This window comes from Homo sapiens, chromosome 19 (genome assembly GCF_000001405.40).
Source record: "Homo sapiens chromosome 19, GRCh38.p14 Primary Assembly".
NCBI lineage: Eukaryota > Metazoa > Chordata > Mammalia > Primates > Hominidae > Homo > Homo sapiens.
In genome coordinates, this window is record NC_000019.10 from 16,923,647 (window position 1) to 16,950,545 (window position 26,899).

A 26,899-nucleotide genomic window follows, 5' to 3' on the forward strand; every position below is an offset into this window, starting at 1 on the left:
ATCCAATGACAGGCATCCTTGTAAGAGAAAAGAGAGGCCGGGCATCGTGGCTTGCACCTGGAATCCCAGCACTTTGGGAGGCCAAGGTGAGAGGATCACTTGAGGCCGGGAGTTCAAGACCAGCCTGGACAACATAGCGGAACCCCATCTTTACAAAGAATTGGCTGGGCATGGTGGTGCACACCTGTAGTCCCAGCTACTCAGGAGGCTGAGGTGGGAGGCTCACTTGAGCCCAGGAGTTCAAGTCTGCAGTGAGCTATGATCGCACCATTGCACTCCGGCCTGGGTGACAGAGCGAGACCCTAGCTCTTACAAAAAAAAAAAAGAAAAGAAAGGGAATTAGTCACAGAGGTGACAGCCATGTGATTGTGAAGGCACAGAGCAGGCTGATCAGTCTATAAGCCAAGGAACTCCTGGAGCCAGCAGACGCCAGGAGAGAGGCCTGGGACAGTCTCCCTCAGAGCCACCAGTAGGAACCAGCTCTGCGGACACCTTTATTTTTGACTTTTGGCCTCCAGAACTATGAGGAGATGACACATTTCTGTCGTTCTAAGCCACCCGGTTTGTGGCATTTTGTTGTGGCAGTTTTAGGAAATGAACACAAGTGGGTTTGGGGGGAAGATGGCGGGGGTTGATTTGGGGTTTGTTGAGTCTGAACTGCGAGTTGGCTGGATGCACACAGGGTCCGGCTGTCCCCTGGAGGTACAGGCTGTTATTCACGAGGAGGGCTCATTCAACTCTGGGTGGTGTTTAAGGACCTGAGCCTGGATGGATCCACCAGCTGGTGTCCACCCATCTCCCAGACCCTCACAAGTGCTAATCTGAGCCCCCAGGACCTGGCCTCAGTGGACTTGGCCTTCCTAGCTGTCCATGATCAGCCTTCAAGATGCCAGACTTTCAGCCTAGAGCAACCCCTGACTGTTTCTTCTTCTTTATTCTTTTTTATTTTTTACAGTTGGGGTCTCACTCTGTCACCCTGGCTGGAGTGCAGTGGCACAATCACAGTTCACTGCAGCCTCCAACTCCTGGGCCCAAGTGATCCTCCTGCCTCAGCCTCCTGAGCAGCTGGGACTACAGGGGTGTGCCACCATGTCTGGCTAACATTTTTTTTATTTTTTGTAGAGACCGGGGTCTTGCTTTGTTGCCCAGGCTTGTCTCAAACTCCTGGGCTCAAGTAATCCTCCTGCCTCGGCCTCCCAAAGTGTTGGGATTACAGGCATCAGCCACTGTGCCTGGCCTTCTCTTTTATTTTCTAAATGTTATTTTTAATAATGCTGTTATATTATTATTGTTGTAAAAAAATCCACACTTTAAAAAGATGCTTTTCCTCTCCCTGTATCTGAACAGCACCATCTCATCCTAACAGCCACAGACATCAGGCTCCTGCTGACAGTGACAAGATCAGGGCCACCCTGAATGGCCTCTTTTGCCCACTTCCTCCCCTTTGCTGCACCTGGTGTGTGGGCCACCTCCAGCGTGGTCTTCTCCACTGAAGGCTGAACCTGCCTCCCTTGCTCCCACCTCAACCCAGGCACTTCTTCCCCAATACCTTGTACTAGGTAGTCGGTGGTCTCTCTCTCCACCTCAGGGCTGAGCTGCTGGGTTTTCTGAAGATACTTCAAGACAAAGACGTTGGGTGCAAAGTGGATCATGTTCTGCTCTCCACAGCCAAACGGCAGCCGCAGGAGGTTGTTGAGGTGGTTCAGGGTTGGCCCCATGACGTCCCCTGGTGGGAAGGAGAAGAGAGTTGAGTTGGGGGCTGTCCCAGTTCAGTAGAGAACAGGGACAGCTTTACCCAGGGATGGGAGACAGTGAGTGTCATGCAGTCAGCCACCCAACTGCCCTTTGGGACTGGCACCCTCTGCCTGCTCAGACCAGCTGGTGTCCTGGCTTTGGTGACAGTTTTACACACCTCCTTCTGTGTTCTTTAGTTTTAACTCAGGCTTTCTTTCTCTAGCTTTTCATTCTGTTCAATGCTTTTTCCCTCCCTGGCTTTTAAAATAGGTGCATTGAAAGCTATACATTGGCCTCTAAGTACAACTTTGGTTGCATCCTACAAATATTGGTATGTCTATACAATCATTCTCATTCTATTCTAGTCTTTCTAAAATATTTTTTTTTTTTTGAGATGGAGTCTCACTCCATCACCCAGGCTGGAGTATAGTGGCACAATCTCGGTTCACTGCAACCTCCGCTTCCCAGGTTCAAGCAACTCTCCTGCCTCAGCCTCCTGAGTAGCTGGGACTACAGGCGTGTGCCACCACACCCAACTAATTTTTTATTTTTATTTTTTTAGTAGAGACAGGGTTTCATCATGTTGGCCAGGCTGGTCTTGAACTCCTGACCTCAGGTGATCCACCTGCCTCTGCCTCCCAAAGTGCCGGAATTACAGGCGTGATCCACTGCACCTGGTCCTAAAATATTCTTTCTAAAATATTCAGATTTTCTCTTTAACCAAGAGCACTTCAATTTTTAAAAAAAGTTTCTATATGTATGGAGTTGGAGGTGCATTTTTCAGTTTTCTCTCTTTAAAAAAAAATTATGGTTCTCCCATCCCCTTGACATTCCGTATTCCTCTTCTTGGCTTCCTTGTCTCAAATATTTCTGATGGACCCCCCTGGGACCCCCAATGTCCCCTGAACACACCTTCTTTCCTTCTTTATTTTATTTTATTTTATTTTATTTATTTTTAGATGGAATCTCACTCTGTCACCAGGCTGGACTGCAGTGGCATGATCTTGGCTCACTGCAACCTCTGCCTCCCAGGTTCAAGTGATTCTCCTGCCTCAGCCTCCCAAGTAGCTGGGATTACAGGCTTGTGCCACCACGCCCAGCTAATTTTTGTATTTTTAGAAGAGACGAGCTTTCTCCATGTTGGCCAGGATGATCTCCATCTCTTGATCTCGTTATCCACCTGCCTCGGCCTCCCAAAGTGCTGGGATTACAGGCGTGAGCCACCACGCCTGGCCCCTTCTTTCTTTCTTTAGCCTCTCTGCATGTCTCACTGAGGCTGCCATTGCCCCTACAGCTCTTGTTGCACAAATAGCCTGGCTACTTTCTAGGCTCTAGGCTCCCCAGCTTTTTCTCCATCTGCTGTGTCACTGAAGGCACTGGCACACAGATCCCAGACGTCGCCTCCTCTCCATTCCTGCCTCTCTGCTTCTTCTCCTATCTCATTCAGTTCCATCTTAGTCACTCAGCCCCACATCCACTCTGACTTGCTCTCGTGCCTCAGGAATTGTAAACTTGAAATTCCTCTGATCTGGCCACAACCACCTACCTGCCTGAGTCCCAGGGCCTCCACCCTCTGATGTCAGAGAGAGCCTCGACACCCTCATTTGGGTCTGTCCATCTCCTTCCGGCCTCTCACCCTCTCCTCCCTGACTCAGGCCCATCCCAAACTCTCACCACCCTTCTGCCCAACTCCTAGCCCTGGATCAATCACAGCCCCTCCAGCACCTGGGCTACTAGAGGCATCCTGATATGGATTGGCTGTGTCCCCAACCAAATCTTGTCTTGAATTGTAGCTCCCATAATTCCCACATGTTGTGGGAAGGACTCGGTGGGAGATAACTGAATTATGGGGGCGGCTTCCCCATACTGTTCTCGCAGTAGTGAATAAGTCTTACGAGATCTGATGGTTTTATAAGGCGAAAACCCCTTTCACTTGGCTCTCATTCTCTCATTCTCCCTGGGACCATGTAAGACGTACCTGTCGCCTTCCACCATGATTGTGAGGCCTCCCCAGCCACGTGAAACTGTGAGTCAATTAAACCTCTTTTTCTTTATAAATTACCCAGTCTTGGGTATGTCTTTATCAGCAGCATGAAAACAGACTAATACACATCCCAACCCTACAGACCCCCTAAGGCTGCTTCCAATGTCCCTAGTCAGAGCCTCTCACCCCTACTCAGCAACTGCTCCGGACGCCTGCCCCATCACCAAGACCCCCCAGGCCTCCATCCTGCACCGCATATCTGGCTGACTTATTCAGGTATTTGTGTTTTCTTGGATCTTGTCCTTGGCCCACTGCCCTCACAGGGTTCACTGCAGGTTCTTAGGGGTCACCCTACCCTGACCTCTGCATAAGGTTTAGACTTGGGGGGCTCTAGATCTGCCATCTCACCTGGACTAGGAGTCCCTCAAGGGTGGGGTTGGGATCAGCTCTTGGGCTTCCTCAATGCCCAGCACATGGATGGGCATAGAGAAGGCACTGGAAGCTGCTTGTCAGGTGAGTGGGTGTATGGGTGGACACCCCAAGACACAGGTCCCCAGCAAAGCCCAGCTTGAGACTAAGCCTGGAGTCTCAACTTCGGCTCTTGCCCCCTGACCTCTCCAAGCCAGGCTGTGGGACAGACGCACCGATGATGGAGGCGGTGGCTCGCTCAGACCCAGGGATGGCGCCGTGTGGGACCCCCAGGGTGAAGGCCTCGCTGTAGCTCTCGTCCACCTCCATCTTCCTCCAGATTCGGAATTCACCCATGGAGCCCCAGCCGGTGGAAAAGCCAATGAACTGGACCTCTGGTGGCCTCGGGAGGGTCCAGGCCACAATGACAGACTCATTGGATGGCTCTGGACCATGGCCAACCTGGAAAAAGAAACCAAGGCTGCTGGACGCTGGCAGGAAGCAGGCAGTAGGCACTCAGGTGGCAGTGACACCAGCTTTGTGGCCAGGGTCAGAGGCCTCAGCCATGCTCACAGTGCAAGGAAGGGTCTTCGGGGAGTCAGAGGTGAGAGAAATCAGGTTACCCCATCCATTAAACAGCCAACAGAAACATAAGGCATGGCATCTACAGGTTCCAAAGTCATTGGGCTCCTTGGAACCTCTGGACCTTTGCACATGCTATTGCTCTGCCTAGAGAACCTACTCTGCTTCCATTTTGCCTAGCGAACTCCTATTCATACTTCAAAACCTACTTTGGTTATGTTCTTCCTCTAGGAAGCAGTATTAGCTTCCTGTGTTGGGAAGCTGTGTTAGCTTCTATATCTTCTTTTTCCTTGGCCCAGAAAACACCCCCCAACCCCCATTTCACTTGCTCATGTCCATTCTTCTTTTCTCCCCTACCTCCTCTCTCTGCTCCCTGATCCTTGGGTGCTTCCTCTGCCACAGCTCTTGCTACATGTTTTTTTTTTTTTTTCGGTAAGCGACTCTAGACTAAGAACAACTTGAGGTGGTGCTCCATGTTTCCCTTGCTCCTCCTGACCCTGGATCAAAGCCTGGCACCAAACAGGAAGCAGCTAGTATTGGAGGAACATGAGGCTTCTGCACAAGCCCCAGGCAGTTCTGCTGTATACCTGGATAAGGCCACCACGCCAGCTGATCCAGAATGTTCTGAATTCATCCCAGGAGAGGATCTTGGCCGTGTGTGCACTGGCCACGGGCTCTCCCATCTTGCTGGTGGAGATCCATGACCTGGTGTTCTGATGCCCCCCCAGGACGATCTCGATCATGCCTGCTGTGTCCTGGGGCCCAGAAGACAAGGCCACACGGGCATCATTGTGAGCTCGCACAGCCACATCAAAGCGGGTGAGGCGCAGTGGCCGCTGCACATACTGGAACTCATACTTGTTGGGGGTGGAGATGTGGACTCTCTCTGGATGGAGGAAAGGAGATGGGGAGTTGAGAGGGCACCTGGAGGCATCCCACTTTCCCTGATGGTACCTGGAGGTGAGCACCAGGACCACAAGGAGTGGGTCTCACTGTGACTCGGCACACATGGTGGAATGGTGTTGGCCTAACAATGGCATTGGCAATGGCACACAAAAGATAAAATGGGACTGGGCAGAGTAGCTGACACCTGTAATCCCAGCACTTTAGGAGGCTGAGGCAGGAAGACTACTTGAGGCCAGGAGTTCAAGACCAGCCTGGGCAACATAGCAAGACTCTTATCTCTACAAAAATGTTTTTAAGTTAACAGTGGCATGCATCTGTTGCCCCAGCTACTTGGGAGGCCAAGGCAGGAGGATCGCTTGAGCCCAGGAGTTCAAGGCTGCAGTGAGCCATGATTGCACCATTGCATTCCAGCCTGGGTGACTCTCTCTCTAAAAAACAAGCAAGATTCTCTCTCTAAAAACAAAAAGATAAGATGCTCAGGGATAAATCTGACCAAAGATGAGCAAGGTGTTGAAAATTGCAAAAGGCTGAAGAGAGAAACAAAAGAAAACCCAAATCAACAAAAGCTAGACCATGTTCATGGACTATCATGAACATTAGAGTTCTTCCCCAGATGGTTCTACAGATTCAAAGCAATCCCAGTCAAAATCCCAGGAGGCTCTTTTGGAGAAATTGCTAACTGGATTCCAAAATTTATACAGACACGCAAAGGACCTAGGAGAGCTCAACTTTGGTAAAGAACCCAGCACTCTGGGAGGCTGAGGCAGGTGGACCACCTGAGATCAGGAGTTTGAGACCAACCTGACCCACATGGTGAAACTCCGTCTCTACTAAAAAGACAAAAATTAGTCGGGCGTGGGGGTAGGTGCCTGTAATCCCGGCTACTCAGGAGGCTGAGGTGGGAGAATCACTTGAACCCAGGAGGTGGAGGTTTCAGTGAGCTGAGATCGTGCCACTGCACTCCAGCATCGGCGACAAGAGTGAAACTCCATCTCAAAAAAAAAAGAAAAAAAAAAGAACACAACTGGAAAACTCACACTCTCTGACACTGAGACTTACCATAAAGTGACAGGAATCACCACAATGTGATATGAGTATCAGGAAACATAAATGCACCAATTATTATGTGGGGAGAGGGGCTACTTAGAGGCATCTGGTACTTGCCTCCTTGACGAACAAAAATAACAAGTAGATCATCACACTTTGACTAGTTCATCTAAGAACACTGGAATTCAACAGAGAAGTGACAAGAAACACCTAAAGCGAAGAAGGAAATGGAAATAATACATGGTGCTTGGCGGGAATCAGCTGGGGGCCGGGAGTAGCTCCCCAGTGTGAGGAAAGGGTGAGTGAACCCCCGTGGTCCCCATTCCCACCGTGGACTCTAGCAGCTCTAGCCATGGGAGAGCCCCTAGATCCTCGTGGGCCACAGACTAGCCTAGGGAGATACCCAGAGATTGTGCAAAGATACTGTTCCAGAGAGGGGGCTAAGGCTGGGTCTCACACACCCTTGAGCCCTAAGCAGCTACAGCAGGGCACCGTATCGAGATCCTAGCCACTGCCAGGCTGCATTCTGCCTGGGGGCCAAACAGCTCCTGCATCTTCACATCTCTGGAGCCCCACTTACATTCCCTGCTCACAGCCACCACCAAGGCTGGCTGCTGCCACCAGGAATGAAGCCCAAGCCATTGGCAATGACCTCACTGCCCCCAGCAGTGAAGCTGCTGCACACTTTCACGTGCCCCGAGGGCTAACTCCCCAACCTGCAGCAACTGCCGCTATGGGATGCTGCAGCCAGGGGCCAAAGCATGAGCAAAGCTCATGCTCCCCAGCCACTGCATATGGCTGCTGTCACTGGAAGCAACTGCACCCTCCCCAGTAGCAAGGCTGAACCCGAGCATTCCACCAGAGACCTAAGAATCACCCCACCCCTGCCTACCATAGCCAGCAACTGCACACACCACCAGGGAGCCTGAGATAGGTCGGCCCAGCCCAGCTCTGTCCCCGCAAGTGCCTGAGGGTGCCATCCAAGGGCCTTGAGACTCCCAGCCTAGTTCACCACAGCCGGCACCTGAGCGCTCCTCCTAGGCATCTGAGGTCAGGCTCACCCAACCTAATGTGTGCCACTAACACCACAGCTGGCACACACCTGCCTATGCCACCTGTGGGCAAGGAGGTTGGCCTACCCAGCCTGTCACAGCCACCACCAACACCAGAGCAGATTGCTTGGGAGCCGGAGGGTCATCTCACCACTGCTACTGCCAGTGCCCATGCCAAGCCCACTGCCCAGGGGCTCAAGAACCTATCCATGTTCCTGGTCCACCGCTGCCACTACTGGCATTCAAGCTAGCTTCCTGGAAGTCCAAGAGTTGGCCCACCTGGACCCACTAACACTGGTACCAGTGTAGAATGCCCTGGTGCTCAAGGAAGTCATGCTTTGCCCACTGCTGCCAACACTGGGACCTGAGGACAGGTCCATCTGGCTTCCCCATCCCCAGCAAAACTTCATCACAGCCTCCACTAATAACTGCACCCTAAGCCACTCAGGAAATCACAGACACCACTGATGCTGTTTATAGCTAAAGAAATCATATGGAGACTACACTACTATACACATTCAGAATCAATCTAAATGCTGTACCCAACCAACACCACAGATAGATCTTCAGGAAAAAGTCTTCCTCTATGAAAGCAAATTCAAAAGATTGGAAGAAGCGACTGTTACACCAAACACCAAACGTATAGACATCACTGTAAGAACACAAGAAACGTGAAAAAGCAAGGAAACGTGACATCACCAAAGAAACACAATAATTCTTGAGCAACAGATTCCAGTAAAAAAAAAAATGTATGTAATTTTGGAAAAATAATTCAAAATAATGACATTAGCTGAGTGTGGTGGCTCACACCTCTAATTCCAATACTTTGAGGGTCAAGGCAGGTGAGGCCAGGCATTCAAGACCAGCCTGGGCAACATGGCGAAACCCCATCTCTAACAAAAATGCAAAAAATTAGCCAGGCGTGGTGGCATGTGCTTGTAGTCCTAGCTTCTTGGGGGTCTGAGGTGGGAGGATCACCTGGGCCCAAGAGGTCAAGGCTGCAGTGAGCCATGATTGTGCCACTGCACTCCAGCCTGGGCAACAGAGTGAGATCCTGTCTCAAGAAATAGTAATGGTAATGATATAAAAGAAGCTCAGTGAGACAAAAGAGAACACGTAAGAACCATACAAAGAAGTCAGAAAAACAATTCAAAAAGGAACCAAACAAATTCTGAAACTGAAGAATTCATTAAATGAAATACAAAATAGGAAGCTTCAATAATAAACTAGATGAAGTAGAAGAAAGAATTTCAGAACTTGAAGACAGATCTTTTAAAATAACCCAATCAGACAAAAATAAAGATAAAAGAAAGAACAAAGCCAACATGACAAATGGGACACTATAAAGTAACCAAATACTCAAAATTTTGGTGTCCCAGAAAGTGAAGAAAAAACAAAAGGGGTAGAAAACCTATTTAACAAAATAATAGCTGAAAACTTCCCAAGTCTAATAAGAGATTTAGGCATCCAGATACAGGAAGCTCAGACACCTCCAAATGGGTATAATTCAAAAAGGTCTTCTCCACAGCACATTATGGTCAAACTGTCAAAAGACAAAAATATCATTTTTTTCTTTTACTTTTTCTTTTCCCTTTTTTCCAGTGTGGTTGGACAAAAAGATAGTTCTAAAGACAGCAAGAGAGGGCTTGGCACAGTGGCTCACACCTGTAATCCCAGCATTTTGGGAGGCTGAGGCAGGAAGATCACTTGAGGCCAGGAGTTCAAGACCAGCCTGGGCAACATAATCTTTTCAATAAATGGTGCTGGCACAGTTGGCTATCCAAATGCAGAAACATAAACTTTGATGCATATCTTGCATGGTAATCCAAAATTAACTCAAAATGAATCATGGCCACTTTGTAGTGTAAAACTTAAAACTACAAAATTTTGAGAAAAAAAAAACAGGGTTTAGCAAAGATTTCTTAAATATAGCAAATGCATTAATGAATAAAAAGAAAAAATAATAAATTGCACTTAATTAATATAAAAAAACTTCTGCTTCTCAAAAGATATAATTAAGAGAATGAATGAAAAGGTAAGCCACGGTCTGGGAGAAATATTTTTGCAAAGCATTTATCTGATAAAGAACTTGTATCCAGAATATATTTTCAAATCTCAAAATGCAATAAAAAAAGTACAACTCAATTTTGAACAGGTTAAAAGATTGGAACAGACGTTTTTCCACAAAAAAAAAGACATACTCATAGCAAACAGGCAAATGAAAATATGCTTAAGATCATCAGTCATGATGGAAATGCAAGCTGAAACCACAGGGAGATGTCACTGGGTATCTATTAGAATGGCTAAAAGTAAAAAGACTAACAATACTAAATGTTGGTGAGGATGGGGAGGAAATGGAACTCTCACATACTGCAGGTGGGAATACAAAATGGCCTGAGCACTTTAGAAAACAGGTTGGCAGTTTCTTAAAAAGTTAAACATACACGAACCATATGATTCTGTTCTTTCATTCCTAGCTATTGACCCAAGAGAAAGGAAAGCATGTTACCCAGAAAAGACACAAATGATAATAGTAGCTTTATTTGAGATACTCCCAAACTGGAAACAGCTTGAAAGTTCATCAACAGATGAATGGATGAATACATTGTGATATATCCATTCAATGGAATCCTACTCAGCCTTAAAATGATTGAATTATTGACACATGCACCATGGATGAATCTCAAAATTATTATCCTGAAAGAAACCAGACAAAAAGAATACATACGACATGATTCCATTTATATAACATTCTGGAAAATACAAACTAATCTACAGAGACAGAAAGCAGCTCAGTGGTCCCTAGTGATGGAGTAAACAGGAGTGAGAGATTACAAACGGGCATGACTCTTGGGAGGTGAAGGAAATGTTTGTTATCTTAGTTGTGACAATGGTTTCACAGACGTACATATATGTTAAAACTCACCAAATTGCACATTTAAAATGTGTGTAATTTATTGTATGTCAATTATGCCTCAATAAACATATTTAAAATATTATTGCCTTTACTATTCATATAAATATGTTCATAAAAGTGTTAATTACAATATTAAAAAGTAGAAGTACTATAAGAAAGTCCAGTAATATGTTCCAAAATGTTCCATAACATGTTCTAAAATGCTCCATAATGGTTAAATTATGGAACAGTTATTATGAAACATTCTGAGGCTGTCTTGAAATGCTGTTCATAAAGACTTTATACTAACCAGAAAAAGTGCTCAGAATGTGTTAAGTGAAAAATGCAGCATATATAATTACATAGTGCGTGAAGTAACAACTATGTTAAAACAAACAATAATCAACCCTATGAAAGCAAATACAACAAAATGTCAAAGGAAGTCTTCTTTGGGTGTGAACCAGAGGAGATGCTTTTCCTTCTACCTTCCCAAATTTCTGCAATACACATGTATTGCTTTTCATTTTACAATGTTTTAATTGTGGTAAAATATATATAACATAAAATGTACCATCTTAACCATTTTTCAGGGTAGAGTTCAATGGCATTAAGTACACTCAATGTTGTGCAACCACCACCACCATCACCCATTTCAAGAACTCTTTTCATCCTGTAAAACTGTAACTCTGCACCCATTATTACATTAAGCACTCGCTCCCTATTCCCTCCTCCCCCAGCCTCTTGTAAACACCATTCTACTTTCTTTCTCTATGATTTTGACTACTCTAAGTGCCTCATATAAGTGGAATCATATGGTATTTGTACATATGTATTGCTTTTAAAAATGTTTTTAACTTAAAGTTTTGCTAAGATAATCACATGCAATTGTTATAAATAATTCAGAGAGCTCTCTGTACCCGTTTCCCCCTCTCCCCATGGTAACATCTTGCAAAATCACAATCAGGAATATTGACATTGATAAAATCCATCAATCTTATTCAGCTTTCTCCAATTCTATTTGTACTTTTTATGTGAGTGCCATGTAATTTTATCACATATGTAGGTACACGAATCCACTACCACAGTCAAGGTACTAAACATTCCCAACACCACAGAGATTCTCACCGTTGCCCATTTATAACCATATCCATCCCCTACTTCCTTCTCCCTCTCCCTAACCCCTGGCAACCACTAATATGACCTCCATTTATAAAATTTTGTCATTTCAAAAATATAAATGGAATAATTCATGTATCTTTTGGGATTTTCTTCCCACTCAATTCCCTTCATTCAAGATTCATCCAAGTTGTTTTATGTATCAATAGTTTGTCCTTTTTATTAATGAGTAGTATTCCAAGGCTTGAATGCACAGTTTGTTAAGTCATTCACCTGCTGAAGGACATCCGGGCTGTTTCCAGTTTGGGGCTACTACAAATAAAGCTAATATGAACATCTATGTACAAGTTTTTGTGTGAACATAAGTCTTTGTTTCTCTGAGATCAATACTCAGGAGTACAACTACTGAGTGGTGGGGTAGTTGCATGCTCAGTTTTTTAAGAAACCACCAAACTGTTTTTAAAAACTACCAAAGGTGGCTGTACCATTTTACATTTCCACCAGCAAAGTTTGAGTGGTCCACTTTCTCCACATCTTTGCCATCATTTAGTGTTCACTATTTTTTTTTTTTTTTGAGATAGCAACTCACTCTGTCGCCTAGGCTGGAGTGTGGTGGTGCCATCACAGTTCACTGCCACCTCAGCCTCTCAGGGTCAAGCAATCCTCCCTCCTCAGCCTCCCAAGTAGCTAGGACTACAGGCACAAGCCACCATGCCCAGCTAATATTTTGTATTTTTGTAGAGACAGGGTCTCATCATGTTGGCCAGGCTGGTCTTGAACTCCTGGACTCAAGTTCTCCACCCACCTTGGCCTCTCAAAGTGCTGGGATTATAGGCATGAGCCACTGCGCCCAGCTCTATTTTTAATCTTAGCCATTCTTATAGGTGGTGTGTAGGGGTATGTCATTATGCTGTAATTTGCATTTCCCTAATGATAAATGATGTTGAGCATCTTTTTATGTGCAATTTGCCATCTGTATGTCTCCTCTGGTGAAATGTCTGGTTATTTCTTTTGCCCACTTTTTTGTTTGTTTGTTTGTTGTTGTTGTTGAGATGGAGTCTCATTCTGTCACCCAGGCTGGAGTGCAGTGGCGCAATCTTGGCTCACTGCAACCTCTGCCTCCCAGGTTCAAGCTATTCTCATGCCTCAGCCTCCTAAGTAGCTGGGACCACAGGCACCTGCCACCATGCCTGGCTAATTTTTTTTTGTATTTTTTGTAGAGATGGAGTTTCACCGTGCTGGTCAGGCTGGTCTCGAACTCTTGACCTCAAGTGATCCACCTGCCTCGGCCTCCCAAAGTGCTGGGATTACAGGTGTGAGCCACCACAGTCGGCCTTGCCCACTTTTAATTAGATGGTTTGTTTTATTCACTACTGAATTGGAGACTTCATTATATATTCTAAAAACCAGTAATTTGATAAGGTTTGCAAATGTATTTTCTCCCAGTCTGTAGACTGTAGTTCCTCCCTTAACAGGGTTTATTGTGGAGAAAAAAACTTTTAAAGTTTGAAGAGGTTTATTTATTAATGTTTCCTTTTATAGATTGTACTTTTCAAGTCTAAAAACTATATGCTTGGCTCTAGGTGGCAGATCTTTTTTTCCCTCTTTTCTTTCTCCTTCCTTCCTTCCTTCCTTTTTTCCTTCCTTTCCTTCCCTTCCTCTTTCCTTTCTCCCTTCCTTCCTTCCCTCCTGCCTTCCTTCCTTCCTTCCTTCCTTCCTCCTTCCTTCCTTTCTTCCTTCCCTCCCTCCATCCCTCCCTCCCTTCCTTACTTCATTTTTTTGAGACAGGGTTTCTCTCTGTCAACCAGGCTGGAGTGTAGTGGTACAATAAAGGCTCACTACAACCTCCACCTCCTGGGCTCAAGCAATCCTCCCACCTCCACCTCCCAAGTAGCTGGGACTACAGGCGTGCACCACCACGTCTGGCTAAGTTTTTGTTTGCTTGTTTGCTTGTTTGTTTAATTTTTTGTAGAGATGGGATTTCACCATGTTGCCCAGGCTGTCCTGTGTTTTTTTCTAAAAGCACTATGGTTTTACGTTTAAGTCCATGATCCATTTAGGGTTCATTCTCGTGTAAGGTGTGATCTTTAGGTCCAGCCTCATGTGTTGTTGTTGTTGTTTTGAGACGGAGTCTCACTCTGTCACCCAGGCTGGAGTGCTGTGATGCAAACTTGGCTCACTGCAACCTCCACCTCTTGGGTTCAAGAGATTCTGCTGTCTCAACCTCCCAAGTAGCTGGGATTACAGGCACACACAACCACACCTGGCTAACTTCATACTTTTTTTTTTTTTTTTTTTTGAGTTGGAGTCTCGCTCTGTCACCCAGGCTGGAGTGCAATGGCGTGATCTCGGCTCACTGCAACCTCCGCCTCCCCGGTTCAAGTGATTCTCCTGCCTCAGCCTCCTGAGCAGCTGGGATTACAGGTGCGTGCCACCACGACCAGCTAATTTTTTGTATTTTTAGTAGAGATGGGGTTTCACCATGTTGGTCAGGCTTGGTCTCAAACTCCTAACCTTGTGATCCACCCGCCTCGGCCTCCCAGAGTGCTGGGATTATAGGCGTGAGCCTACCGCGCCCGGCCAACTTTGTACTTTTAGTATTGATAAGTTTCACCACGTTGGCCAGGCTGGTCTCAAACTCCTGACTTCAAATGATCCACCTTCCTCAGGATCCCAAAGTGCTGGGATTACAGGTGTGAGCCACCGTGCCCGGGCAGCCTAACCTTCTTGCTTGGTGCCTGCAGTGCACATTCCTGTGTATTCATTCCCTGCGTATTCCCTGTGTATTCATTCCCTGAGTATTCATTCCCTGTGTATTCATTCATTCATGCCCCACCCTCACTGGCTCTGCCTGTCCCCAGCTGGGACATCGTTCTTCCTAAACCACAGTGCCCCCTTCCCAGGGGAAGGGCAGGTGCTCACTTTGCAGCGGGACAGCCCCCACAGTGTGGGAAAGGGGGAAGGCCAAAGTCCTGACCCAGCCAGGTGGCCACACCTTAGCAGAATGGGCACGGGGGACTCACCACTGGGACAGAAGAATGCGCTGTAGGTGTACGCCCGGGGGACTCCTTCCGCCTGAAACAAAGAAACAAGGAGAACTGAGTGCTGGGGCGGTGAGGGGGATGGTCAGCTCAGCGGAGCAGCTGGCTCTCCCACAGCAATGACTTCAAGTCCAGACCACATAATTGTGCTTCCAGGTTTTACGTGGTATCAGCACGGTCACACCAAGATCACAGGTGCGTGGAGCAGGACAGGGCCACCCACTTCCCAGGCTCCAATGGGGAAACTGAGGCTGCTCCCCCTTGCTGGCCAAAAGGAACTCACCAACTGCTTCTAAACTTGTCATGGGGCCCACATCCCTACCCTACCCTCCCAGCCACCCTCTTCCTCCCATCTCCCTCTGGGCAGAGGACATCATGAGGACAAATAAGCCAGGTTCTGAGGCCTCATTTGACATCCGTGAGCACTGTGAGAGGGGCTCCTGCATCTGCCAAGGACGAGTCTCCGTCCCACTGTCTGTCTACCACATCTCTTGTCTCCTGTCTCTTCCATCTGGGTTCTCATTTCTGCTTCTTCTATGGATGACCCCAAATACCAGAAGGCAGCTGTCTCAGTCTCTTAAAAAGGGATGCCCAGAATTTAACCCCCTATACCTTGCGGAGCTTGGTCTGACCAACACGGCCCCTGTGGGGGCCCTTGGATCAGACCTCAAAGGGTTAACATGGGGCAGCTGCAACCAGAAGGCCTGGCAGCCCCTTTCCCCATTAGGATGGTCAATTTTATTTATTTATTTATTTATTTATTTATTTATTTATTTATCTATCTATCTATGTATCTATCTATCTATCTATGGACAGAGTCTCACTCTGTCGCCCAGGCTGGAGTGCAGTGGTGTGAGTGATCTCAGCTCATTGAAACTTCTGCCTCCTGGGTTTAAGCAAGTCTCATGCCTCAGCCTCCCAAGTAGCTGGGACTACAGGCACATGCCACCACGCCAAGCTAATTTTTTATATTTTTAGTGGAGATGGGATTTTGCCATGTTGGCCAGGCTAGTCTCAAGCTCCTGACCTCAAGCGATCCGCCTGCCTCGGCCTCCGAAAGTGCTGGGATTACAGGCATGAGACACCGTGCCCAGCCTAGGATGGTCAATTTTAGGTGTCAACTGGACTGGGCTCCAGGATGCCCAGGTAGCTGGTTAAACACTCTATCTGGGCGCGTCCAGGAAGTGCTTCTGCAAGAGATCAGCATTGGTGTTGGAGGACTGAGTAGGGCACACGGCCCTCTCCAATGTGAGTGGGCACCATCCAAGCTGTTAAACGTCTCCTGATAGAACAAGACAGAGGAAGATTGGTTCCACTCTCTGCCCAACTGCTTGAGCTGGGACATTGATCTTCTCCTGCTCCTGGTTCCCAGGCCTTCAGACCTGGGCTGGAATCTACACCATTGGTTCTCCAGCTCTCAGGCCTTCCAGCTACACCACTGGCTTTACTGGGTCTTTAGCTTTTTTGTTGTTGTTGTTGTTGTTTTGGGTTTTTTTTGTTTTTGTTTTTGTTTTTTTTTAGATGGAGTCTCACTCTGTTGCCCAGGCTGGAGTGCAATGGCGCGATCTCGGTTCACTACAACCTCCGCCTCCTGAGTTCAAATGATCTTCCTGCCTCAGCCTCCTGAGTAGCAGGGATTACAGGCACCACCACCAGGCCCAGCTAATTTTTGTACTTTTAGTAGAGACAGGGTTTCACTATGTTGGCCAGGCTAGTCTCGAACTCCTGACCTCAGGTGATCTGCCTGCCTCAGCCTCCCAAAGTGCTAGGATTACAGGCGTGAGCCACCACGCCCGGCCTCCTGGGTCTCTATCTTGCAGAGGGCAGCTTGTAAACTTCTCGGCTTCCATAAGCGCATGAGCCAGTACCTTATGATAAACCTATCCTACAGATGTATGTGTGGGAGTGTGTTTATATAACAAATCTCATTCTATGTATGTAGGGGGTGCGGATTTCTGTTTCTCTGGTGAATCCTAATACAACCATTCCTGCTGACTGGCTTAGGGCCACTCACTCAACCTCTCTGGGCCCCCATTTCTTCATCTCTAAGATGGGGGTTAAAGACCCCCAACTTCACCTTGTGACGGGGTTATCATGCTTCAGAAAGGGTCTGGAGTCTTCTCAGTGCTACTGACAGTCAGTTCTTGTTATATTTTCTCATCCTTACCTACTTTCATTACAAAGCTCTCCTTGAAATTGTCATGTGTCTATACTGATGAGTCCAGGAGATGCTTGTCCCCACTCACATCCACTTCCTAGTAAAGTTCCCAGGGTTGGTGCTGAGAGGCTGAGGACACCATCTCAGGCTACATCGAGCCGTCCACCTGCCAGGATTTCATCTCACACCTGCTAGGCCCGATGTGGCACCCACGGGTCATTTGCTAAGCTAGGGGGCACCAGGGAAGGCCCCAGAAGCATTGCTTAGGCCTCAGTAACCCCCCATCTACCTGCCTGGCCCCTTGTCGGGAAAGGGATTTGGAGCAATGGGCAGGGCTAGGCCATTGTAACCCACGGTAGTTTTTTGTTTTTTGTTTTTGAGATGGAATCTCGCTCTGTCGCCCAGGCTGGAGTCCAGTGGCGCAGTCTCAGCTCACTGCAACCTCTGCCTCCCAGGTTCAAGCAATTCTCCTGTCTCAGCCTCCCAAGTAGCTGGGATTACAGGTGCCTGCCACCACACCTGGCTAATTTTTTGTATAGTTTAGTAGAGACGGGGTTTCACCATGTTGGCCAGGCTGGTCTCGAACTCCTGGCCTCAGGTGATCCACCTGCCTTGGCCTCCCAAAGTGCTGGGATTACAGGCATGAGCCACTGTGCCTGGCCTCATGGTAGCTTTTTAACAGCTACATAATCCTAAAAATTGTGCATAACCTAAATGTCCACCATAGGTGAACAGATAAAGAAAATGTGGTTCATCCATCCAGTGGAATATGATTGAGCCATAGAAGCAAGCACGTATCTATGCTGCACCGTGGATGAACCCTGAACACATTGTGCTGAGTGAGAGAAGCCAGACTCAAAAGGCCACATGTTGTATGATTCCATTGATACAAAATGTCCCGTGGGCAAATCCATAGAGACAGAACCAGATCCATTCTGTTGGTGGTGAGTGATATGGTTTGGATTTGTGTTCCCACCCAAATCTCATGTTGAATTGTAATCCTCAATGTTGGAAGAGGGGCCTGGTGGAAGGTGATTGGATCATGGGGGCGGATTTCCCCCTTGCTGTTCTCGTGATAATGGGTGAGTTCTCATGAGATCTGGTTGTTTGAAACTGTGAAGCGGCTGGGCACGGTGGCTCACGCCTGTAATCCCAGCACTTTGGGAGGCCGAGGTGAGTGGATCACGAGGTCAAGAGATTGAGACCAGCCTGGCCAACATGGTGAAACCCTGCCTCTACTAAAAATATAAAAATTATCCGGGCATGGTGGCAGGTGCCTGCAATCCCAGCTATTCGGGAGGCTGAGGCAGGAGACTCGCTTGAACAAGGAGGCTGGAGGTTGCAATGAGCTGAGATCATGCCATTGCACTCCAGCGTGGCGACAGAGCGAGACTCCATCTCAAAACAACAACAAGAACAACAACAACAAAACTGTGAAGCACCTCCCCTTCCCTCCTCCTCCTGCTCCAGCCATGTAAGACACGCCTGCTTCTCCTTCACCTCCTGCCATGATTGTAAGTTTCCTGAGGCCTCCCCAGCCATGCTTCCTGTACAGCCTACAGAGCTGTGAGCCAATTAAACCTCTTTTCTTTACTAATTATCCAGTCATGGTCGGGCACAGTGGCTCATGCCTGTAATCCCAGCACTTTGGGAGACCGAGGCGGGCGGGTCACCTGAGGTCAGGCGTTCAAGACCAACCTGGCCAACATGGTGAAACCCCGTCTCTACTAAAAATACAAAAATTAGCCAGGTGTGGTGGTGCATGCCTGTAGTCCCCGCTACTCAGGAGGCTGAGAAAGAAGAATCACTGGAACCTGGGAGGTGGAGGTTGCAGTGAGCTGAGATTGCACCACTGCACTCCAGCCTGGGCGACAGAGTGAGACTCCATCCCCAAAACTAGTAATAATATAAATAAACTAATAAATAAATAACCCAGTCTCAGGTATTTCTTTATAGCAATGTAAGAACGAACTAATACAACAAGGATGCACTGTGCCTCTGGCTGACCATTGGCTGGGGCCCTGGGCACAAATCCAGGGGCCCCTCATGGTTTCTGGGTCCCAAGAAACCTCTGCTGACTCAGCTCACAGAGGACCCCACAGCTGGCTTCCTCAATGATGCCCATCTCTTCCACTCTGCCCCTCTGCCGTGGCTTGGGTTTGCTCCTTGAGTGTTAGCCCATCTCGGGCTGCACTTGTCCATCCTGGTTCCAACCTCCTTTGTCTCTGTGCTCTTTCTGGCTTGGGGCCAGATCTCAGAACACGGAGCCTGCATGATGCACGAATAGTAGCTCCGGCTGGGCATTTCTAAAGCCTTGTAGTACAGATCTGTGCTTCACTCCTTTCGGCCTCTCTGGATTTGCCTGTTCTGGGCATTTCATATAAATTGAATCATACACCATGTGGCCTTTTGTGTTTGACTTTTTTCTTTTTTCTTTTTTCTTTTTTTTTTTTTTGAGACAGGGTCTGGCTCTCTCACCCAGGCTAGAGTGCAGTGTTGCAAGAGTCCCTCTGTTGCTTACTGTAACTCTCACCTCCTGGACTCAAGCAATCCTCCCTCCTCAGCCTCCTGAGGAGCTGGGACTACAGGTGTGTGCCACCACGCCCAGCTAATTTTTGTATTTTTAGTAGGGACAGGGTTTTGCCATGTTGCCCAGGCTGGTCTCAAACTCTTGACTTCAGGTGGTCTGCCCACCTTGGCCTCCCAAAGTGCTGGGACTATAGGCGTGAGCCACCGTGCCCGGCCTGTGTCTGTCTTCTTTCACTCGGTATCACGTTTTCTAGGTTTATCCACGTTGTAGCATGGATCAGTGCTTTATTTATTTATTTATTTATTCATTCATTCATTCATTTAGACAGGGTCTGGCTCTGTTTTCCAGGCTGAGTATAGTGGCATAATCATAGCTCACTGCAGCCTCCAACTTCTGGCCTCAAGCCATCCTCCTGCCTCAGCCTCCCAAAGCACAAGGATTACAGGTGTGAGCCACCACACCCAGCCCTTCACTCCATTTCACAGCTGAATAATATTCCATTGCATTGAGGAATTGCATTTCATTGACCCACATTCATTTCTCTAATTCATCAGCTGATGGACATTTCCTAAAATAGAAAGTGTATCCCTGACTTTGGTTTGGGATTCCCCAGTTGACTGTTATAAATGCCTGTGTGACAACAGCACGTGGGTCTTTAGTAGACAGGCCAGATACCATGAGAGGCTTTCCACCAACACTCTCATTTAACCATCCAACGCTTCCATCCGAATCTGGGGCTCTCACTCCAGAGCCCACTCCCTGGCTGGCCAGCCCTCCTATCACTCCAGTGAGGCCCGAATTATTTCTGCCTCCTCTTTGCTCCTTGGAATTTCACTGAAGTGAAATTCACGTGGAGATGATTGAACACTCTCAGCCTCCCAGCAGATATAGAGGATCTTAGTCCCCTTGCAGGCCAGCAGGGGAGCAAGGCAGAGCGGTGTCCGTACTCCCTGCACCTGCCAAGCCATCCCCACCCTGGTACAGTGCCCATGATGGGCCGTGCACAGATGATGATTCCCCACCGGCCCATGCATCGTATTCAGCTTCCTGCTCCTAAGTCCATCTCAGCTGGTGGCGCCCACAGTCCTCCGGTGGGAAGAGGTAGGAGGAGCATTTTGCTGCTTTATCAAGCCACACATCCTGGTGCCTCTTGTTTCATAAATTGCTTTTCTAATTGTAGCTTCATCTTTTGCATCAACATTTCAAGTCTTCTGATGCCTGTATCTTTCCCCAGAGCTGCCTCCAGGAAGCCGGACAAGTGGATACTGCAGGTGCAGAGACAGTTCTGCGGCATGGATGGGAGGAAAGGCTCCAGGGAAGGAGACCCTCAAGAGTCCCCCTGTGTGCATTGAGAAATCCCTTCTGTAAGGGGAGGAGGCAAGAACGCCAGGCCTCCAGGTTCTGCAGCTCGGAGGGGCTCGCTGCCTCCTTCTTGGGCCTTAGGAGGGCAGGCTGTGGCCCAGGGAGGATGCCCTGGCTGGGCAAAGGGTGACTGGGGGTCTCTGCATTTCCCCATCTGGACCCTCCCACCCTGCTGGCTCACAGAGATCTCGGTCCCCACCTGACAGCACTCTTGTCCCCAAGGAATCCATCACATCACATCAACGACACTACAGCGGTGACCTGTCCACTGTCACCGCTCCGGAGTTCTGCCCAGTGGGCACATGACTCCTGGTGCTGACAGAAGCCACTTGTGTTCAGGGCCAGCAGGATCCCAGCAGGGAGGGAGAGCAGCTGTTTGCAGCTGGGCCTCTGGGGAATGTGAGTCCCTTCGGGCTGCTGTTAGGGGCTGTTGGTGCGGCACCAAATGGAGCCTCAGTAGGGCTCTGATGTGTCCAAGCAGCCAAGAAAAGATGAGGCATGGTGGCTGCTGCATGCTCAGCCCTGAGACATCTGTGTGTCATCTCTGGCTTCCCACCCCATCTTATGAAGGTGAGCCCCTCGTCTTACAGAGCGGGGCTGGAAAGCCAGGATGCTTCCCGAGATCATGGGTAAGTGGCCAATCCTGGATTCATAGCTGGGGGTCTGCAAGATCCTGGCGCCTGCCTCTGCCCCCTGCAGCTCTGTGTCCTTCCTACACAGGCCATCCAATGACAATGCCCCAAATGCTGAGTCATGGTCCCCATAAATGCCTATGACAAGCACGAGATGAGGGACATGGTCTTCCTAAATAGTTCACCCAGGGGTCAGGGAGCACTTGCTGCAGCCCCTGAAGAGTCCCAAGCTGCTTTACCGAAGCCCACTCTGCGCTTTAGGGAGGGAACGGACTACCATGATCCTCTAACAAGGAAGTACCCGAAAGTCCAGGCACCTGAGCTCTCAAGCACAACCCGTGAAGGCTGCCCAGGCCCTGGCTCAGCCTCAGACCACACACTCCAGCTGGGCCCAGCTTCATGGCTGAAGGAATGAGGCCCTGGCTAAGCACCAGAGATGAGGACACGGCCTTACCTCAACCATCACACTGCGCCTGACGTGATCCACCCCGATGGGGACCCTCCTGTCGGCGTGATTCTCCTCAGGGTGTTTGCTGGACCTCCCATCCCGGCAGCAATTTGTGTCTCCGTAAGCAAGGGCTTTGGCTGCAGAAATTTGATGTCTTGGTCTCAGAACAGGTCTCCACCCAAGATGGGGGCTGTCCCATCCCTATCCTTATCCCAGATGTGTGTGCATGCATGCATGTGTGTGTGTGTGCATGTGTGTGTGTATATGCAGATGTGTGCATGCATGCAAGTGTGTATGTCTGCACATGTATGCATGTGTTTGAATGTACAGGCTCATGTGTGCATATGCATGCACTTGTACATGTGTTTGTGTGTACGAGTTTGTGCATATGCACGTGTGTGCATTTGTGTGCACGAGTTTGTGTGTGCATTTGTGTGTGTACAAATATGTGTGTGCATATGCATGTGTGTATCTGTACGTGTGTTTGTGTGTATATGCATGTGTGTGCATTTTTCCATGTTTGTGTGTACAAGTTTGTATGTGTATATGCATGTGTGTATGTGTGTGCATGTGTTTGTACAGGTTCGTGTGTGCAATGCATATCTGCACATGTGGGCATGTGTGTGTGTATGATTTGTGTGTGTGTGTGCATGTCTGCATGTGCAGGCATGTGTCTGTGTGTGTGGATTTGTGTGTGATGCATGTCTACACATGTGGGCATGTGTGTGTGTGGATTCGTGTGTGTGATGCATGTCTACACATGCAGGCATGTGCGTGTGTGGATTTGTTTGTATATGTATGTATGTCTACACGTGGGGGTGTGTGTGTGTGGATTTGTGTGTGTGTATATGCATGTCTACACATGTGGGCATGTGTGTGGATTTGTGTGTGTGAATGCATGTCTACACATGTGGGCATGTGTGTGGATCTGTGTGTATGCATGTCTACACATGTGGGCATGTGTGTGTGGATTTGTGTGTGTGTGTGAATGCATGTCTACACATGTGGGCGTGTGTGTGGATTTGTGTGTGTGTATATGCACGTCTACACGTGGGCGTGTGTGTGTGGATTTGTGGTGTGTGTATGCATGTCTACACATGGGGACATGTGTGTGGATTTGTGTGTGTGTATATGCATGTCTACACGTGGGTGTGTGTGTGGATTTGTGGTGTGTGTATGCATGTCTACACATGTGGACGTGTGTGTGTGGATTTGTGTGTGTGCATGTCTACACATGTGGGCGTGTGTGTGGATTTGTGTGTGTATGCATGTCTGCATGTGTGTGTGCTACACTGGGTTGGCACCTTAAGAGCCCAGCTCCCCCAACAGGTGAGACCCCAGGGCTTGCCTCCCCACTCCTCCTGGGCCCATTCCTTCTGTCCTGCTTGCCCCAGTTGCTGTCCCATTTTCCTTGGGACAGTCCTGACCTTACCTGCTGCCCCATCCACCCCTCATCCCCAACTCGGGTCAATGCCAGGACACTTTTGTGGCCTGGAGAGGGGGGACACCCCAAGAACTGTGGGGTCCTCACCCGTGATGTTGTTGAGTCCCAGGTCGCTGAAGGACAGAACGACCCAGATGGGCTCAGCCTCCCCGGGGGCCACACACATCTTCTTGGTCACATGGCGTTTGCCAGGATGCCCAACAAACTGGATGCCCTTGGGAACCGAGAGCTTCATGTACACCTGCAGAGGGTGGCATTGGCTCATGGCGCCTGGAATCCAGACCCCCTCCCAGTGCCTGGAGGCCCAACACACATCCCACCACTCACTGCACACACCAGACTTGTCAGCCTCCCAAAGAGCCATGCTCCCCCCGGGAAGGTCCCCTTTCCATTTCCGATCAGAACAAACTACCCTCTGCTGTCTGGTGCCCCACTTGGCCTTCTCATGCCCATCTGTCTTGCTGTGAGACCTCTCCTCCCCACAGCCCTCCGTATCCTCACAGGTCCAGATCTCCCATGGACTGAAGCTGCCAGTTCCAGCCAGGGCTGCCTCTCCTGCATGTCCATCCACTCCGGGACTCCAGATGGATGTAACCTCTCCCACAGCAGGTCCACAGAGTGCCTCTCCTGACCCTCTTTCCAACCGTGCAGCTCCATGATGTCAGAGTACAGCTCTGTGTGTGCACGTGTGTGTTTATTCATGTGCATGTGTGTGCTGTGAATGCATGTGTCCCCTGGGTGCACACTTGTGTGCATGGATGCAAGCACAGACTGCATACACATGTGCATGCATGCATGTACACACATGTGCATCTACCGGGTGAAGGCATGTGGATATGCATTCGTGTGTGTGTGTATGGGCATGCTAGTTTCTGCATGCATGTGTGTGCCTATATGGGTACAGAGGTGCTATGGATGCACCCATGGGACTCCATGTGCATGTCTGTGCATGGATGTGCAAGTATGGCATGTGTATACATGTATCATGCATGTACATGTGCATATGTATACCATGATGACTTGTGTGGGTGCATCATGTGCATGCTCACACATACTGGTCTCTGTGTGCATGTGTGTGCATTTTGCAGGGTGTGTGCATGTGCATTGTGGGTGCATATGCAAGCACGTTTGCAACCCCTCCATCTAAGAGGAAATCTTTGCTCCACATCCATTTGTCCAACCAGCATATATGGAGCACCTACTGGGTGCCCCGCTAGGAATTAAAGAAATGGCTGATCAAGACATGAGTGATTGCTGAGCCTCAGAATGTTGTCCCACCCAAGGACTGGCACAGAGGCTGCAGGTGTGATGTGGAGAGAAGCATGCGGGGAAAATGTGAAGTGGCATACATGATAGAGTCCTGAATCCTGACAAAGGAAAGGCCCAGCTAGATCTGAGAGCCAATGGCTGCTGCAGGGTGCACATCAGGAATCCCCACATCCCCCTCAAGGTAGCATTTTCCCAGGAAGAAAGAAAGAGGCTGGGTGCGGTGGCTCACACCTGTAATCCCAGCACTTTGGGAGGCTGAGGCAGGCAGATCACCTGAGGTCAGGAGTTTGACACCAGCTTGGCCAACATGAGGAAACCCCATCTCTACTAAAGACCAGGCGTAGTGCTGGGCACCTGTAATCCCAGCTACTCAGGAGGCTGAGGCAGAGGAATCCTTGAACCTAGGAGGTGGAGGTTGCAGTAAGCCAAGATCACACCACTGCACTCCAGCCTGGGCAACAGAGCGAGACTCCATCAAAAGAAGAAGAAAAGGAAAGAAGGGGTAAGGAGGAGAAAAGACGGGAAAGGAGGGGAAGGGAGGGGAAGAGAGGGGAAGAGAGGGGAAGGGAAGGGAAGGGAGGAGAAGGGAAGAGAAGGGAAGGGAGGGAAAGGAAAGGGAAGGGAAGGGAAGGGAAGGGAAGGGAAGGGAAGGGAAGGGAAAGGAAGGGGAGTGGAGGGGAGAGGAGCAGAGGGGGGAGGGGAGGGGGAGGGGAAGGGAAGGGAGAAAGAAAAGAAAGAAAGAGAGAGAAAAGAAAAGAAAGAAAGAAAAGAAAGAAAGAAGGAAGGAAGGACGGGAGGGGGGGAGGGAGGGAGGAAGGAAGGGAGGAAGGAAGGAGAAAGAAAGAAACTCAACAGTGTCAATGAGCCATTTTCCAGGTCCTGAGTGAAATGACCAGCGCTCCCCACTGGAGGGTCTGAATGGGTATGTTTTCTCTGTCTTGGGGATGGTCATACAAGCTGGGGTGGTCCTTAAGCACATACACTGCCCAGCAGGACTTCCTTCTTCCTGCTGGAAAAGCTAGACACCAGCATGCGCTCAGAGCCAAGCCGGACATCTGGGGATTCTGCTCACAGGTTTCAGAGGGAAACCTCCCTTTAGGGGCCAACCTACAGGTCAGGGCATAGTCTGTGTGTATGCTTTCTTTTGGAAACCGAGATCCTATTCCTCCCAACCATAATCCATATAAAAAGAACGGTAAAGGATGGATTGTAAAGGTTGGGACTGAAGCTAGGATTCTGGGCACCACTACCTGGCCATTCTGAGTCTAACATCTCCCATTTACTCCTCACCGAAGCCACCCTGTGACCGCTGCCTTGGTTGCTTCCTGCCTCCTTGCCTCTTGCCTAGACAATGGCAGGAGCCTCTGACCTCCTCGTCCTCTTGCTCCTCACCTGCTTTTCCATCTTCCCTGACCAGACCCCAAAGCCAAGCCAAACTATGTCTGAGGCAGGACCCAGGAAAGGTCAAGCTGCCTCCTGCTTCTGTTGCTTGTACATGCTGTTCCCTCTTTGCGAATGCCCTTCCCGCCCCGATGCCTGACTCAAACATCACCTGCAGACTCTCAGGTTCAGGGGGACTTCCCCTTTTCTGGGCTGTCCCGGCACCCGTAGACATTGATTCTAACACACAGCTCCACCACTCACTCCCTGGAGGCCCCTGAACCCATGACAATGCTTCTTTGAGCTTCCTAATGGTGAATGATTCCATCACAGACCCTTCTTCCTTGGCCCACACAGGAGCTTGATAAAATGATGAAGGTGGCCAGGCGTGGTGGCTCATGCCTGTAATCCCAGCATTTTGGGAGGCCACGGCAGGCAGATGGCTTAAGGTCAGGAGTTCGAGACCAGCCTGGCCAACATAGTGAAACCCCGTCTCTACTAAAAATACAAAAATTAGCTAGGCGTGGTGGCGGGCGCCTGTAATCCCAGCTACTCAGGAGGCTGAGGCAGGAGAATCGCTTGAACCCGGGAGGCGGAGGTTGCAGTGAGCCAAGATCACGCCACTGCACTCCAGCCTGGGTGACAGAGCGAGATCCTATCTCAAATAAATAAATAAATAAATAAATAATAATGCAGGTAAAATTGTCAGTCCAGCACCAGCTGCAGAAGTACATGCCCCACCAAAACTGAGTGAGTGGGATCTAAACACAAACCACTTCGCTCCAAGGTTGAGCTTGGATCTCACATCCTGCATGACGGGATCTTCTGATACTGGCACAAGCCACCAGAAGCCAAGAGACAGGGAGAGAGGGGCCAAATGCAGTGGCTCATGCCTGTAATCCCAGCACTC

At 48.9% G+C, this 26,899-nt stretch overlaps 1 protein-coding gene across 14 annotated transcripts in view; it reads right to left on the reverse strand.

Moving 5' to 3' along the window:
* CPAMD8 (C3 and PZP like alpha-2-macroglobulin domain containing 8) overlaps nucleotides 1-26,899 on the reverse strand; it is a 133,860-nt gene that overhangs the window by 30,696 nt on the left and 76,265 nt on the right. For all 14 annotated transcript variants that reach the window (XM_011527917.2, XM_047438612.1, XM_011527922.2 and 11 more), the window contains 6 exons: nucleotides 23,428-23,581; nucleotides 21,903-22,033; nucleotides 14,749-14,800; nucleotides 5,296-5,594; nucleotides 4,363-4,588; nucleotides 1,550-1,726 (listed from right to left, as the gene is read on the reverse strand). In XM_011527917.2, coding sequence (XP_011526219.1) covers nucleotides 1,550-1,726; nucleotides 4,363-4,588; nucleotides 5,296-5,594; nucleotides 14,749-14,800; nucleotides 21,903-22,033; nucleotides 23,428-23,581 — 1,039 coding nt within the window. The remainder of the gene's footprint in view (nucleotides 1-1,549; nucleotides 1,727-4,362; nucleotides 4,589-5,295; nucleotides 5,595-14,748; nucleotides 14,801-21,902; nucleotides 22,034-23,427; nucleotides 23,582-26,899) is intronic.